The following is a 17,735-nucleotide window of genomic DNA, read 5'->3' as shown; positions in this document are numbered from 1 at the left end:
TGGGCTCATTATAAATGGAAAGCTTGTCAGTTTGTGGGGAATTATTTTATTTTAAAACTTCAAGATATTGATAAACACCTTCCAAACTAGGTAAACCTCAAGCTTCAAGTTTGTTCCAGGTTATTAGGTAGAAAATAGTTGATACCATGATGTTTGCTTTGAACACTGTTCTCCACTTTGAACTCAGTAATTTCATACTTTCAGAGGATAGATGGCTGAAACTTCCTTGGCAAAATGGACAAAGATTTCTAACATGTGGTGGAAGATAATGGCAGAAAAGTCAGCTCTTTCTGGCTTTCCTACCTACATAAACATGAGAAATTAAATTTGTCAAAAAGGAATATTTTGTTTATATTCCAAATTTGCATGATATGTTTTGCAGTTGATGTCATGGCATCCCCAAAGAAGGTGGAAAAGAATGTGTTTCGCAACAAGGGCTGATCTAGTTTATTACATGTAAACCATTCATAAAACATGGAGCTAGAAGAAACTTTTAACATTGTTGATTGTAACCAAGTCATCTTTATAAATCTTCCCTCAAACTGTGGGATTATGCTGTGATTATGGGTCATTAAACCATTCATCAGATCTTATTTATTCTGTGCTATGCCTTTTTATATAATTATCACATTTTTCCCAGGCAAAATTGCTCCAGTTTCTTTGGGGTTTCTTCCTTCCTCCCTATTTCTTATCTCTTTAACCATTTAGGTAATCTGTTGAGAATTTCTTTACCAACATATTTTTAAAATATCAAGATTTGATATTTGCTCAACAACAATGTTCCTAACATATTTTCTTTGTTTTCTCATCGATAAAGTGGGATTAATAACAGCATCTATTTTATGGCACTATTAGGAGGAATACATTGACTGATTAATCTCTTTTGAAAGAGCATGGCACAGAATAAGTACTATGTAAGTCCTTAAAAATTAAAGGAATTTATTTACATAATCTAATAAATAACACCAAAGATGTGTGTAATCAATTTACTATATCTCTATCTTGCAGACATTTGTCTAGCTCAATCTCAAAACTTTGAGAAAGGCCATGTCCTTTTATTAGTATGATCTATAGTTGTGAAAGTGAGACATAAATATTTATGATCAAACTCTGCCAGTCTTTATAACTGTATATGTGTCTCTCCGATAGAGATAATTAAATTGAAAAAATTGTCTAAAGCATGGTTCAAAGAACAATAAAAGAACATATCAATTATTGACTTTTTAAGAACACAAAAAGGTACACTAAAATTAATTCTAAATTGATTATCTAAACTACCCTACACAAAGACATTGAGGATTCTGTGTTTTATTAAAAATGAATTATTACAGTAAGTTTAAATCTATAAAGTAACACAGTTGTGAACATTAAACTATTTTTTATTAAATTTACAGAAAAAATCACAAAACACATAGTATTAAGATGTAAGAAGAAATTTTATAAATCAAATTATGAAAATGTTGGGTGAAATAACTAGAGTAATCTAGTTTCTTGCTTCTCAAGGACTCCCAGATTCTATTTCTGCTTTTCTCTTTCATTGTTTTTTGCTGTCTTGTTATACACAAATAGAAAATAGAAGAGTCAACACAAGACTTTGTAATATTAAAACTTATTGTGTAAAAATTTTAGTTATCTCAAAATAAATGTTAGCATACTGCCTTTACATTTATGTTGAAAGCATAGTGCATTTACATTTATACACATATGTGTTTGTAAACATACATGCCCATATAAGGATTTAGAGAGCATCATTTTAAAATTCCAATTTCTGGGTCCACTTTAGACCTGCTGAAGGTATCAGAATTATTGGGACCACTCCAGGTAATTCTGATGATCAGGCCAGGTCTGAATAGCTAAGTTTGAGAACAGCCGTTCTAGCTTATGTAGTACTAGCTATTCATGCAATTAGTTTAAGTCATGACTACATTTTTCATCATTATAAAAATCCTGTGAACTGTGCTGCTCTCTTTATTATTAAAAATTTGTTTGCTACATTAAACGGTACATACTCTAAAAGAACTTTCGGAACATATTTTGAGGAATGGCGTATTGATTCAAGAAATTATATCATGTGTGCTATATGATGGTTTCTGTGGTAGAAACGCAAAGGAGAACAAAATAGAAAAGACCCCATCTCATGAAGATAATCCTCTCATAAGCAACTATTCAACTTTTCTCTTATGGGTAATTCCATAATACAGTAGTTCTCAAATTTGAGCAGGTATCAGATAACCTGCAGGACTTGTTAAATCAGAGAGGACGAGTCCCCACATCCAGAGTTTCTAATTTAGTAGGTCTGGAGTGGAGCCACAACATGTGCATTTCTGACAAGTTCCAAAGTGATGCTGATACTATGGGTTGGGAACCATACTTTGGAGAACCACTGCTAAAAGGACATTTGGTTTTTATCTTCCACTGGCTGGCACAAGGGTGAGATCCAGCCTTGGGGTTTTCCTCTAGCAAGAATATAAGACTTTGTATGATCAGTACTAGATTCATAACCTCTACCTTTTTATCCTGATACCTAGATCATATTTTATCTGAAATTGTATGTATTCATTTAAGCATCTAAAATACTTTTTTGGAAAGTTGTCTGCTTAGATGTGGAAAGAAAGGTAATGAGGCAGAGACAGAAACTGAAGCTTATTAAACACCTGGAACAGGGCACCTAATGTGAGTTTAACAATACTTTGCTTCCTCTGGGAATTATGCCCACCATATCTAATTATCAGAGTGGCTGAGATCAAATGAGTTAATATTTATGAAAAATTTAAATGTAAAGAGCTATAAAATGTAGATTAATTAGAGAATTCTTCATCTCATCTCTGATTCCTAGAAGAAAAACATAGAACATGTCTTCTTTGGCCAACCCAAAGAAAATTGCTCCCCTTTGCATTGGAAACATTGAGTTTGACTTCTTGCTTTTCAAATTGGTGCATATGTCTGACCTAGGACATGCTGTGTGTCACTCATTAAATGCCACTGTGGTGAGTGTCCCCTTTTGAACACAGCTGTGAGCCTCCACACTGTGGAGAGAAGCCAGACACAGGCTTTACATGCACCTCGAGATTCCTGGAGAACATATGCCATGTGTTTGTCATCTTTTCAGGAAAGCACTTCTGAAGAGCCCTTTAATGAGTTTCCTAGAGAAATTCTGAAGGAATCGTAATGCAACTAATCATTTCCTACCTTCCCACTGAACCTCTTATTAATTAACATGTTAATGCTCTGTTTGATTTCTTAAATTTAGTTTGAGAGACAGTAAAACAGCTATTTTCAAATTAAATTAAATTGAGCTGTGAGAAGATTTTCAACCGATATAGGGCTTTTTGTACTCTACTAATTCCGGTACTCATTAAGGTAAAAAAAAAAAAAAATCAATGAGCTTGGAAATGAAAGTGTTGATATTATTGTAGGGTAAATCTACTTCTGAATAACTTACTCCCTCCATGACAATGTTTTACCATGTATGTGACATTAGAAAATGCAAATTTCAGTGTTTAAAGAGAGGGAAAATTTTCCAGAGTTACCATAAATGTCGACCAGGTATCTGCTTGGGGAATTAACATAGTCATAAACTATAAAAATTAAGGTTTTTTTTCTAGTACAGTAGACATTCTTACTGTTAATAGGCTGCAATAATCCTTTGGTTTTCAATGGTATATTGCTCTCAGTTCATTGTGCAGATTTCAGGTATAATTAATTGTCTTTTATCTTCCTCTAAGGCTTTTCTTTCTAGCAAAAGGGATTTTCTTTGACTTCTGCTCTAATGGAATCTCTTGGGAAGTGTCATATAAAATAGACCTTATCACTGAGCTATTGCAATATTATAGACCAATTGGTTTTCACTTACTCTTCCTCAATAAACAATTTTCAAATACCTTTATTTATATTGATTTGGCTTTTTAAAATTTTTCTTCATTATTTTATGTTGAAACTCAGGATATCTTCTATTACCAGTATTTGCAATTAACCAGTTTTAGATTAGCATGCAGTAACAAATTCTTGAGTTGACGCCAGATTTCCATACAGGAAAATTTCCAACAGGAAAATTTTCCTATAGGTGATGGAAATCTGGCGTCAACTCAAGAATGATGTAAGTCTGTCAGTACTTCTGAAACTTGGATGATGTAAGTTCATCAGTACTTCTCAAACTTTAACGGGCATCTGAATAATGTTTTTGCTGTGTCCCCACCCAAATCTCATCTTGAATTGTAGCTCCCATAATTCTCATCTGTTGTGGGAGGGACCAGGTGGGAAGTAATTGAATCATGGGGGCAGGTCTTTCCTGTGCTGTTCTTGTGATAGTGAATAAATCTCATGAGATCTGATGGTTTTATAAAGGGGAGTTCCCCTGCACACGCTCTCTCCTGCCTGCCATCACGTAAGACGTCCCTTGCTCTTTCTTCATCTTCCACCATGATTGTGAGACCTCTCCAGCCATGTATAACTGTGAGTCCATTAAACCTCTGTCTTTTATAAATTACCCAGTCTTAGGTATGTCTTTATTGGCAGCCTGAGAGTGAACTAATACACTGGCAGATCATGGTAATCCACAGATTGTGATTTAGTGGATGTGAGGTGGGGTCTGAGATTCTACATTTTTAACAAGCTTCCTGGTGATGCTGATGCTACTTTGAGTAGCAAGGGTTTAGATGACATTGATAATCCATGAGTAACATGATGTCTTTAATAATTGCAACTCTCACAGATTTTCTAGACATCAGAGTTTTCTACTCATAAATTGCACCTTCGATTGGACCAATGTACCATAGTAAAAACAGAAATCTCTGTCTCTTTCTACATTCCTAAAGTACAGATTTCCTAAAGTACAGCTTTCCAAGCTGGAAAGATATTTTCAGGAGTTTTCACTGTCTCCTCTATTTATAATTGTAAATTGTAAGATACTTGTAATTATTTTTTGTCTTAGTTTGCCATTTGACCAAAGCATTTTGGAGGCTCAGTCCAGGGCACTGTGGTGATTCATTCTGTTTCACTGTGACAGAAGTTCTACAAATATGTTTGTTCTTTAATCCACATTGAGACTTTTGTGAAAGCGAGCACACACAAACATACTACAGCTTGGAAAAAGCCTGTTTCATCTTACAGACAGCAGTCCCGATCAATTTTTCCTAAACACCATTCATATTTCCTAGGATCCTACAAGAAGTAAATGGATCACCAGACACAAACGAATTGTTATGTCCCTTCTTAGAAAATCTAAATATCTAAATGTCTTGATAGCAAACTCTTTGTGCCTTCTAAGTGTTCAGTAAGGAATTTCATTTATATCTCGAATTTTTTTTTTGTTACTGAGAAAGAAACTCTTTAAAAGAAACTTCTCCCTTTCCTGAAAACCTCCTTCTGTTTGAAAGTGTGCATTTTAGTTCAGGGCAGTGGTTATCAAACCTTTGTGTGCATTAGAATCACCAGGAGGGCCTGCTAAAACACATCTTGCTAGGTTCCACCACTAGAACTTCTGATTCAGTAGGTGTGATGTGAGATCCAAGAATATACATTCCTAACAATTTTCCAGGTGAGGATGATGTTGCTGGTCCAGGGCCCACAGTATGAGAACTACTAATTTAAGAAAATATACTCCTCTTTTGTTCACTTCTCTAAGATGTTTTAACTAGTTGTGAGAATGCTATATTAATAAGGAAAAATGTGAGACTCCCAAAACTTGAAACATCCAACAGATATCAAGGAGCATTGATTTCCCTCTATCTCACCTAGGGAGAGGGATCTTTCCAGTAGCAGCTTACAGATCACTTTGCCAGGGCAGTTTTCTTGGGCCCTTTTATCAGGACAGTCTCCCTTGCAAAGACATAGCACCTGATAATTGATCTTCATGATGATCATCACAATTGTAATTATACAATTATTTGTGAAAATATTTAATGACTGTATTTCCTACGGAAGCTTAATCTTTTTAGGTGTCATCATTGCCTTTGCTACTGTTATATTTGTTCAGCATCTAGTTTGGAGTTTGGCACATAGTCAATGTAGTATCTGCCAAAATAAATGTTTGGAAAAACATTAGGATTCTTCCATTTACATAGAAATGGTGGGTTCTGAGGGCCTTAAATCAAAGATAGTATTCTCCTGCATCCATTGCCACAATTTTTTTGATTATGACATTCTTGCATGCTGAACTCAGACTGGGCCCAGGAATGATCTTCAATACAGGCAGCTTCTACCAGTTGTCATATATGGCCTATGAGATAAAATCTAATTGCCATTCTTACAATAAATTCTATTCAGGATGGTCTTCGCTTTGTTCACTCAATATTCCCTGAGATTTTGCCCCTATCTTTGTTCGTGCTGTTTCATTTATCTGAAATAGCTACTTTCCTCCAAACACACTCCATTTGTTGAAAACCTATTAATTCCTTAAGTCCCATCTTGAGCACCATCTTTTCTGCGAAGCCTTTTGAAATCCCCTTAATTAGATGAAATCTCTGATGACTCTAACCTTGCTCTACCTTACAACATAGTAATTTGTATGCTTGCCTTTACCTTCTTACTAAAATGGTCCTTCTTAAAGACTGGAAAAACATATTCAATCCCTTACCATAACTTCAGTTATTAAACACATATATATTTGTCTCCTATCATGTGCCAGGCTCTGTGCTAAGTACTGGGGGTATAAAGCTATAGGAGACATAGCCTCTGTCTTAAGTAGGTCATCGTTTTCCAGGGCATTAAAGAAACACTTAAAGACATGGTTGTAGAATAACACAGCAGATGTTATACTGGAGGCATTTACAAGTCACAGTGATGGGTTGAAGAAATAAATGATCATCTCTGTTTGGGCCGGGTGTGGTGAGTAAAGATATTAGAATGATTAGAAACAATTAAGTAAAATGCTTAAGAGATGGGTAGGAGATTTTACAGACATGGTAGATGTTTAGTTCCTTCCATTTAACCAACTTATTTGAATTGATCTTAATGCAGCCTGTAAAATTGAAGCTGGTAAAACAAACTCTATTTTATTTTCTTACTTCTCTTTAGTTTTCTGAATGCTGCATAAAGTTTTCACAGATCCTCTATCCGGATTCTCCTACTGTTGACTGTGTTTCCACATTACAGTTTACCCAATTCATTCACGTAGGCCTTGCCACTGTTCTATAGACTCACCCTGGATGCCCTGTGCTCTGTAGTAGTTGCATTATTTCCAATAGGAAGTGCCATAGTAAGCCACATTAAACAGGTATTTGGACTGTGCTGAAGTAGATCCTCCTCTACCAACTTACATAGTTGCATGAGTTGAGGAAACGTGCCAGGAACCCAAATCCAGTTTGCTGCTATAGGATGTAAGGGCTGCTGAAAACAATGTTCTCAGCCAGGACAGAGGCAGTACAGTTATCAGAATCACTAGGAGATACATCGTCAACTGGCACAAGGTCAACCCAACTTCCCTGTTTTAAAAAAATACCACCCAATCACCATTGAAACCTACTCCTCCTAAAATATTACATGTTTCAGAAAGTCAATGAATGCAGCTTGATAAACTTAAAATTGCTAACTGAACCTCAAAATAATGCTCAGGAAAAGGAAGATGCCATCAATTGAATAATTTGGGAAAGTTTCTGAGCAATTAAAGATTGTTTTTCATCAACTAGAAAACATTTGGTATGTTAATCACACTAAAAAAGATGATAATTTCCACGTAAACATGAAGGTGCTGCAAGCTCTCTTAGCAAAGTGTCTCAAACTTTAGGGTACTCCAGAATTACCCAGGGATCTTGCTACAAACATTACGTCACTGAGCTCCACTCCTAGAGATGTGTTTTGGAAAGTCTGGGTATGACTCCAGGACTTTGCAGTTTGAACAGGCATCATGCGGGGTAACGTTGCAGGCAGCCCACAGACCGTACTTTACCCCAGGTAAATTATCCTTGATCTTATGGGGATAAAACAAAGCCAACTGTATAGCTGACCCTTGAACAACACAAATTTGAACTTCGTGGGTCCACCTGCACACAGGTTTTCTTCACCCGCTGCCACTCCTGAGACAGCAAGGCCAACCCCTCAAGACCAACCCCTCCTCTTCCTCCTCCTTTTCAGCCTACTCAACGTTGAAGATGAGGTTGAAGGCCTTTATGATAATCCACTTCCACTTAGTGAATAGTAAATGTATTTTCTATTCTGACTTTTTAAATAATATTGATTTTCTTAATACCACTGTCCTTTCTCTTGCTTTCTCAGTAGGCTATTAATAGTTAAATTTTGGAGGAGTTAAAAGTTATGCATAGATTTTTCAACTGCATGGAGGTCGGCACCCCTAACCCCTGCGTTATTCAAAGATCAACTCTATAACATTCTTCCCACCACAACTTCTATATGCTAATGTGGGAAACAATATGCAAAGAGATTAAAACTTCTACCTTTGACAAGTGGCCTGCCCCAAACTTCTCTGTTATCTTTGATTCATTCTTTTTTTTTTTTTTTACCAAGAAAGGGGAGTAATTGTCTTCCCCATCTCCACATGTAATACAAAAACAGTTTTAGAAATCTATTTCTCTTATTGATCACGTGTGTGTGTGTATCATGATTTACTTAGGCAAGAAAGAGCTAAAGTCAATCTCCCAACCAATTATTAATTGAAGTTTTAGTATCTACTGATTACTGGCAACTAGGCCCAAGGAGGTTTGCTTATCTCACTTCTCCCTCACAATAGCTTTAGGAAAAAGGTGCAGTTGTCCTCACTTTACAGATGAGTAAACAAGATGAATAGTTAGGGAACTTGCAAAGTTTAAAAAAAAAAAAAGTGAAATCCAAGCTTCAAACCCAGGTGTCTGATTTGACAAACCACTTTGTCTTCACCACATCTAACAGTTGTTATTTCACTTCATTTTTGGGGGGGCTGTAAACTTTGAGTGAATGATGAGTTTGTACCAGCTGCAATTTACTGTTTAATGGTACAAGTGAACCTATATCCTTCCCTCATACCCTTCGGTCTCATTCCCATCTAAGGGTGGGATCTGTAATCATGTTCTCCAACAGCCAGCTTCTAGCTTCTGTGGTTTTTCTCTGCCTTTGACAACCATTTATTCCTCTTCGTTTAAGATTCTGTCTCATCTATCTTTGATCTAGGCACCTTTTCTTTCTTCTCCAGAGTGTTTCTTCCCAGCAGTCTCCTAGTTTTATTATTCGAGATTTCAGACCTTCCTTTCTCTTTTAGCTTTAAGCTTTGGGCTTCTCTCTCTCTCTATCTGTGGTGATCATATGGCATGCTGTTTCTTTCATTTAGTTTTCTTTTTCGTGTTCAACCATATATTCTTTTTTGTTCCCCATTATTCTAGATTGCATCATACCACCTTAATCCTTACTAACCTGCTGGAAAGATTTTCTGTCTCTAGTATTTCTGATACCAGCCTGTTAACCATGGGGAAGAAGGGAACAATTGACATCCTCATAATTAATTTTATTGATCACATAGCTATTTTTCCAGAATTTTGCATACTTTTTTATTTACTCAAGTGTGTGAGTATTCTATCTGTGGCCTAAAATGAATTGGCAAGTTTTGATAAAATTGCCATTGAGCCTCAAACTTAGCAGTGAAGTGAATTTATAGTAAGAGATAGGATAATATACTCTCACACCTGAAACCACAAGGACCTCGTCAGCCATGAAAAGTAACATTTCATGAAAATAGAAAACAGGCTAGTTTCTAGACATTTCAAATCAGTGGATTTCTTTTGTTCTAAAGCATTTTCATAATAACTACTAAATTTAATTTAAAAAAATCAAACTCTTCTCTCTCAGGTTTACAATCCAGTACAAGGGCAGATATAAATTCTGTCATTGGAATGATTTACCTGTCACTATTGTATAATTTATAAATAACATAGAGAACAATGTAATTTTTTAATACCATGAGTTATACGCTTTATGTTGCAATAATTTTAGTTTAGTCTCTCTTTGCTCTTTAGCAAAATAAAAGTAAAAGAATTTCCAAAACAGAGGAATCGTGACAGGGAGAACAAGAAATGCAATGCATCAAAGCAACACAAGATGTCACTTTTACACAGGCCTGCATTTGCAGGTAAGGCTACATCTGCATTGTGCATAAAAGAGTATGTGAGGGGAAAAGCATCAAGATTTACAAATGCTTCAGAAATATGAAAAGGAGCAAGCAACCTTGGTTTTGTTTTCAATATTTGTAATAATATCTTGAAATGTATCAAGAAACTAGAATTATTCTCCTATATCTACATAAGTTCACAGAATACGTTGCTTTAACAATACATTGCATCTGCCCAATCCCCAACTTTCTGGATAGCACAGACTCGGAAAACAAGCTTATTCTCACTGCAAAGCATATTCTTTCTCTCGGCTTCCTTACTTCTGCTGCATTAGTTGCCTTCCAGCATCTTATTGGAGGTCTAATCTGTTAAAAATAGATCTCTGACTATTTTTCTTTTTCTGGTCCTGCCCAATTAACCCATTTTGCACACTGCTCCCAGGTGGACCCTCTTGGGGGCAATTCTGATCCCAATATTCATCTGTTCTCCAAGATCAGGTTTAGCAAGAAGTATTAGTTTCCTACTGCTGCTACGATAAATAACCACAAACTGAGTGACTTAAAGAATACAAATGTATTTTCTGTAGCTCAAAAGCCTGACTTGGATCTCACTGAGCTAAGATCAAAATGTTAGTAGGGTTGGATTATCTTCAGGAGCTCTGGGAGGAACCCGTTACCTTGCCTTTTTCAGTTTTTAGTGGCCACCTGCTTGCCTTGGTTCGTAGCCCCTTCCTCTGTGTTCAAAGCCAACACTATCAGGCCAACTCCTGTCCTGTTGCTATCTCTCTGGTTTTTCATAGTCACATCTTTCTCTAACCCTTTTAAAGACCCTTGTGATTACGTTGAGCCCACTGAAGTAATCCAAAATCGTCTCCCTATCTTAATGTCTTCAGGTCAGCTGATTAGCAACTGTAATTCCATCTGCAACCCTAATTCCCTTTGCCTTGTAGCCTATCATACTTACATCTTTAGGGAAGTCATTATTCTGCCTACTACACAAGGTATCCAAAGGGCTTCAAGATCTGGCCTAGTTTTACTTTCCATCCTTGAGCCCCTTCCAGGGTCTATTCTCATTTCTTTTGTGTCAAGTGTTTCGGCCAAACTAAATTTCCCATGAAGTGGCCAGTGTTCATTCTTTAATCCCTAAATTTTGTTCATGCAGTTCTCACTTCCTATGTTATTTTCCAACTTCTTTGAAAACATATCTTCATTCTTCAAGTTTCCTCCCCCTGTGAATCTTTTAAACACTCTCTTAGGCAGAACTGATTACTCCTTCATGTGTGCTTTCATTGACTATATCTTCTACAGAATTATTGTGTTAAGCCATTTGTAATTTTTTTCTTTCCTTTTTTCTTTTTTTTCCCTGAGGCCCCAGGATACACTTTTCCCTAACCCTTCCAGGTGCAAAATTGTGAAAGGTGGTAGATATATTTTGTTAGATGTTTGAAAAGTATGTTATAAAGTAAGAGAAGCTGCCATTACAGACTCCTTTCTCCAAATACCAGTGGTTTACCATAATAGAAGGTTATCTTTTGATCATTTATAATACAGGCTGGTGTTTCTGGTCTACTGGTAACCTCATCCATATTGATTCAAGGACCCTGGTGCCTACCACCTCCTGGCTCTGTTATACTACCAGGCCCTTCTAATTCAAATCCAGACAGTAGAAGGAAAAAGAGAATGTTCAAGAGACTCATTTGATTTTTAAAAAGTAGCTTGGAGGCTACTTCATTTTTATTTACATTCCCTTGGAGAAAACTCTGTTACATAGTCCCCCCAGGGCCCCCCAAAAATGGCAAGGGAGCCTGGGAAATGTAGTCTAACCAGGTATCCAGCAAAATCCTATTACCACAGGGAAGAAGGTAACGGGTTTTAGTAGAAAACTGTGATACGTGCTACAGAGTGAAGAGTCTGGTTCCTCCATGACTCCCCTGAGGGAAGTCATGCTTCCCTCCTGCCAACTCTTATTTGAACATGTATCTCTTATGTAAACTATAATATTCCACCTTGTATCCTATTTCTTTGTAATATATGTCTCACTTATTCCAAAGTACATAAATCAGATCAATGTAGTAGAGGAATTGTAAAAGTATGTGTAAATCCTACATTTTACATAAACTTTCCTATATTTATTAAGTATCATTCTGCTAGATTGAATTGTTCCTTATGACAAATATGACCTGGATAAATAAGGAAGATATAATTCTTTTTTTTGCTGGGGGGGGGGGGCGTTGTTGGTGGGGGGAACGGAGTCTTGCTCTATCGCCCAGGCTGGAGTGCAGTGGCCTGATCTCGGCTCACTGCAAGCTCTGCCTCCCGGGTTCACACCATTCTCCTGCCTCAGCCTCTGAGAAGCTGGGACTACAGATGCCCGCCACCACGCCCAGCTAATTTTTTTGTATTTTTAGTAGAGACGGGGTTTCACAGTGTTAGCCAGAATGGTCTCCATCTCCTGACCTCGTGGCCCGCCCGCCTCGGCCTCCCAAAGTCCTGGGATTACAGGCATGAGCCACCACACCTGGCCCAGGAAGATATAATTCTAAAATCTTTAGAAATAATTTTAAATGTTGAGAGAAAAGGTAGGCATTGTTCTGTGGCAACGGTAAGAATGATGGAAAGCAAGATGATAAGAAAAGGATACAGGACTTGACAGAAGGTGAGGCTTTTGTCAAGAATGTTAGTTAAGAGCATGGGGTTTAAAATTAAATGGATTAGTTCTACATTTTTATGGCTATGTCACTTGAGCAAATTAAAGTCTCTGAGCCTCAATTTCAGTATCTGTCAAATGGAGGTAACTGTTCACAATTTTTAGAAGGTTTATATTAGGTAAGTTTGTAAGACAGTTAGAATTTCTAATTCATAAATACTCTAAAATGCTAGGTTTTATTTTTCTTAAACATTGTTGAATAAGGAAATCTATATTAACCTTAGATTTTTTAAAGCATGCATATAAAGAACAAAGACAGACAGAAGTTTTGAGTTACAAATAAATTCAGGAAAGCTGAAATTCAAAGACCTGATGTTTATAAGGACACAAGGACAAACAAAAGATCTTTCAAGGTTTTTACATTTACAAGAAGAAAACAAAAAAGTGCTTGAGGTTAACAAGCTACGTTTTTTATCCCTTCAAAAGCATAGCATCTCAAGAGTGGAACAAACACTTGACAGAAGTGGTTGAAGCACCATGCAGGTAAAGTGGTTGGGGAGAAACATTCTGCCCTGAATAAATGGCTTTGTGGCCAGGCTTTGGTTGTCTAAGTTCCAAAGTGAGAAAACTTACCAATGAGATTGAAAACTTGATATTGAATTAATCAAAGAGAATAAAGGACCAACAGGAGAGGCACAAGAAAGTTGAGAAGAAAAAGGTAGCTCTCATTTTCGAAAGACGAATATTGATAACTATAGACTGGAACATAACCTTTAGCATTCAAAAGATTCACAACAGGTTACCCTAGCTCCTCAATGGGACATCAGTCTTAGAAATGCTGTTGCATTAAATATATACATCAATTTTTAGAAGCAATCTGGTTTCAGAAATAAGACAGTGTGTGCAGGCAAGAGAAATGTCTTAGGCTAAACACATATGAGTTGACTAGAACAAGACTGGAAACTATGAATAAACATGATCATTATGCTGAAGTCCAGGTGTGTTCATTCAAGCCTTTAATTATATCCTTTTGGACTAGGTTTTAGAAACAGGGTGGGTGAAATGTGTTTTTGTAAATTTAGTGGGTTGTTATCTTACTTGAGCTAAGTGAGAAGTGTGTGTGTTACTCAAGAATTGTGTTCTTAAAGCATTAGAACTTTGACCCAAGTCTTACTATAAATTTTAGCAATGGCTAGAATGATCAGAAGAGACTATTTTCAAATTACAGATAAATAAAATCATAATGATTAGGCATATGGATTTTGAAATTGTTACACTTGGAAGAGAGTTCTGGCTTCGCCATTTATCAGATGTGTAGCTTTAGTCAAGTGATTTAAACTATTCTAAACCTCAACTTCCTCATCTATAAAACTATAATTTGGAAAAGGCCATCTACCCATTGTATGGATGATGTGGGATAACTAACATAAATGCACCTAGCATATAGTATATGCCCATCAGGATGGAGATAGTTACAATGCTGGTGTCCCAAATAAAATTGCCTCTCACAACCAGAGAGCATTTCAATAAAGTTAAATAGCTTACAGAAATGGGTAAATCAAATCAAACAAGATTAAAATGAATCGCAATATGCCGTTTGAGCAAAAGTGTAAGAGAACAAGTAATGTTTTTATACAGGAATAGAATAAAAAAGGCAGATAATTAGAGGCAGATATGTAAGTGTTTGAACCATTTAAGTAACTATGTTCAATAGGAATCTATTAAAAAACATAAATCAATGAAAACATGTAACAAAATACCTAGCATTTTCTTTGACTACATCTGTGAAAATATGGAAAGTAATATAAAGCAGAGACCAGCTTCACTGTGCTCTGTACTGTCTAACAACACTGAAAATCTTACATTATGAATGGAAGGCAGACAAATGGAAAAATATTCAAAGGAGAGTAATCAAAGCGTGGGGAAGCATGCCATCTGAATAATGGCTGGAAGAGAAGTGGTAGTTGTTTCCAGTTTGGGGCTATTATGATAAAACAGCTGCTGTGACATTTTATATAAATCATTTTCATAGACATATGTTTCCATTTATCTAAGGTAAATATCTAGAAGTAGAATTGTCCTATGGTAGGTGTACATTTAACTTCATTAGAAAATGCCAATTTTCCAGAGTGGTTGTACTATTTTACACTACTTTTTAATTGTTTATATATTTATTTCAATCTCATTCCTTGATGGAATTATGTCAACCTTTCCAGATTTCTGTCTTAGAAAAAAATTGGAAGACTTAACCACTCTGCACTCATATGCAGTGACCAAAAACAAGCAGAATTGAATATCCATTACCCTTTTAGATGGTACAGGAACAGTGCAATTTCCCTCACACTTCATTCATCACTCCTGACTCACTCACTCATTTGGTACCAACTGATACGTATTAGCATGAGCTTGCATACCTTCATGTAATGGGAGACTGAAACAGCCCCAGCCATTTAACTTGCTGACAGTAGGCCATTGTTGATGCTTGCATTTGAGTAAGAACATAAACTTCAAGGTGTGTGTTTGTATTTATACTTTGTCATTGTTGTTGCTTTTTGTAAGTGCCATCTTGGAGATATTTGTGTTTTTCCTTTTGACTGCCTCCTCCTTCAGTTGCACCCAGAGGGTCGGAACAGAAGCAGCAGCAGGAATGTTGCTAGGCAAAAAGGTTCTGATGACAATGATGGAGATTGCAAATTATGATTAGTGCAAACCCAGGATGTGTCATCAGCTTAGGATTCTGTTATTTACTTAATTTGAGCCTAATGATATGAAACATCGTTGTAATGTTGAAGTTTTCTTATCCTTTTCAAGGTGCTTCAATTCCCTGAGGAAAGAGGCAAGCAGATGGAATATTTCAGGCTGCAGACATAGAAGAACGAGATAGAAATATGCTCTCTGTCCTTGATGTGAAGATTCTGTCACTTTTAATTCTCCATCTTATTTACTTTTCTACTACATAAGAACTGGGGCTTGTTTTAGCAGCATTGATTAAGTTGTCATTGATTTTCAAGATAGGAAATAGAACTTTCAAATTTCCCACATGAATTTTAAATAAGTCAGATATTAACAACAAGATAAAACATTTACCATGGCAATGACAGAATAGTCAAGTATCATTCAAAACCTTTCAAGGCTCACAAAGAGCATATGGATTCTAGATGTCAATACATACATGACTAGGTATTAATTTTATTATTTAATCTAAAGAAATGCTTCAATAAGCTTCTAGCCCCAAAAATAGAGAGTTCATTTATTTTTATACATGTTTGTGTTCACTCGAAATTTGCATAAAGGTATATTTTCTACCAGTCAATAGAAATCAGTCTTATTAACAGTTAAGATTTATTGAGCCCAGTATTCTGCTAAACCTTTAGAGCACTATGTGAATTAATCCTCACAAAAACCTTAGAGCAGAGTTTGCCCAACTTGGAACTATTGACATTTTGGGCTGGATAATTCTTTCAGGGTAGGGATTGTCCTGGGTATTGTAAGATATTAAGCACAATTTCTGGCCTCTACTTATTAGAAACCAGTAACGTCTCTCATCCCAAATGGTGAAAATGAGACAGAGTGCGGTGGCTCACACCTGTAATCCCAGCACTTTGGGAGGCTGAGGCAGGAAGATCACTTGAGCCCAGGAGCTGGAGACCAGCCTGGGCAAAATGACAAAAGCCCATCTCTACAAGAAATATAAGAATTAGCTGGGTGTGATGGTGCACACCTGTAGTCCCAGTTACTTAGGAGGCTGAGGTGGGAGGATCTCTTGAGCCTGGGAGGCAGAGGTTGCAGTGAGCCGAGATTGCACACTTGCATTGCAGACTGGGCAACAGGGCAAGACTCTGTCTCAAAAAAAAAAAATAAATAAATAAAAAAAATTGAAAATGTCTTCAGACATTGCAAATGTGCCCTGGGGGAAAAACTGCACTCTGGCTGACAACCATTGCTTTAAGACAAATATTATTTCTGCCACATTACAGAACTTACCTGGAGACACACAGCCAGCAAGATGAGCATCTGGAGCAGAGAGGTAAGCTTCTTTGGATTGAAAGCCCAGGATCTTTGCATTAATTGATAATGTCTCCAGTTGATTTCAAAGATACATGAATAGAATTGTGTCTAGTTACATGTGAGGGTTTTCTTAGTATTTACTTTAATGTACATGTGAATTGAGCATTTACTATTTGGAAAATACTACACCAGGGCAAAAAGTGATGACAAACTTAACTTACTCATGGCCACTGAAGAACTTAAACCTTGTCATTGGTAAATAGCGAATTCACAACTGAGGTTTTGAATTTCATGTACTGTATTCAAATGCCTTTAAAGATGGAAATATACATTCACATTTCTTAAACATTATGCTTTGGTCTTGTTTTTTAACAATGTTTAAAAAACATCATGTTTTTTAAACATTTCTGTTCATTTACGTTTTGGCATCATTGCACAAATATACAAATATAAAATTATTACCTATGGTAGAATTCTCTTGTGAGAGAAAGTGTATCCATTATAGTACAATAATTGGCAAATCTGGCCCACTACCTGTTTTAGTAAATAATGTTTCATTGGGTCATAGCTATGCTCATTTGTGTATGTGTTGTCTCTGGCTACTTTTATGCTATGATGACAGAGTTCAATAGTTGTGGCAGAGATCATATAGTTCACAGAGCCTGAAACTTTTACTATTTGGCCTTACAGAGGAAGTTTGCTAACCCTGACACAGTATTTCAAGGTGGTCAGATTTTTGTAGCTGTGTAATCAAAGGTATTCTACTTGTCTGTGTTTATTCTTTGTATATTTTTAAATGTATATTCATCTGGAATACATCTGTGAAGCACAAGAAATAACATTTAGTCTTTTCTCCTATTAAATTGCCTTAATAAAGAATAATTGATTAAAATGATCTGAAGCCTCATTCTGTGCTAGTCAATTTGCCAGGAGTTCTACATGCATTACACTACTTAATTGTTACAACAACACTGTGAGGTAGTCAGTCAATTCTCACTTTTTTATGAGGTCACTGAGACTTATGAAGGCTATGGAACTTCCTCAAGGTCA

The 17,735-nt window shown here is 36.3% G+C and overlaps 2 long non-coding RNA genes across 2 annotated transcripts in view; both read right to left on the bottom strand.

The window, feature by feature from the left end:
* Positions 1–15,281, bottom strand: part of LOC102546299 (uncharacterized) — a 72,706-nt gene extending 57,425 nt beyond the window's left edge. The window contains exon 1 of the long non-coding RNA NR_105065.1: positions 15,092–15,281. This is a non-coding gene — a long non-coding RNA (uncharacterized LOC102546299). The remainder of the gene's footprint in view (positions 1–15,091) is intronic.
* LINC03000 (long intergenic non-protein coding RNA 3000) overlaps positions 1–17,735 on the bottom strand; it is a 765,030-nt gene that overhangs the window by 576,175 nt on the left and 171,120 nt on the right. The gene's annotated exons all lie outside the window — the stretch shown is intronic.

Source organism: Homo sapiens, chromosome 5 (assembly GCF_000001405.40).
Source record: "Homo sapiens chromosome 5, GRCh38.p14 Primary Assembly".
Taxonomy (NCBI): domain Eukaryota; kingdom Metazoa; phylum Chordata; class Mammalia; order Primates; family Hominidae; genus Homo; species Homo sapiens.
Note: the sequence above shows the minus strand (reverse complement) of the source record. Positions and strands in the feature narration are given on the sequence as shown.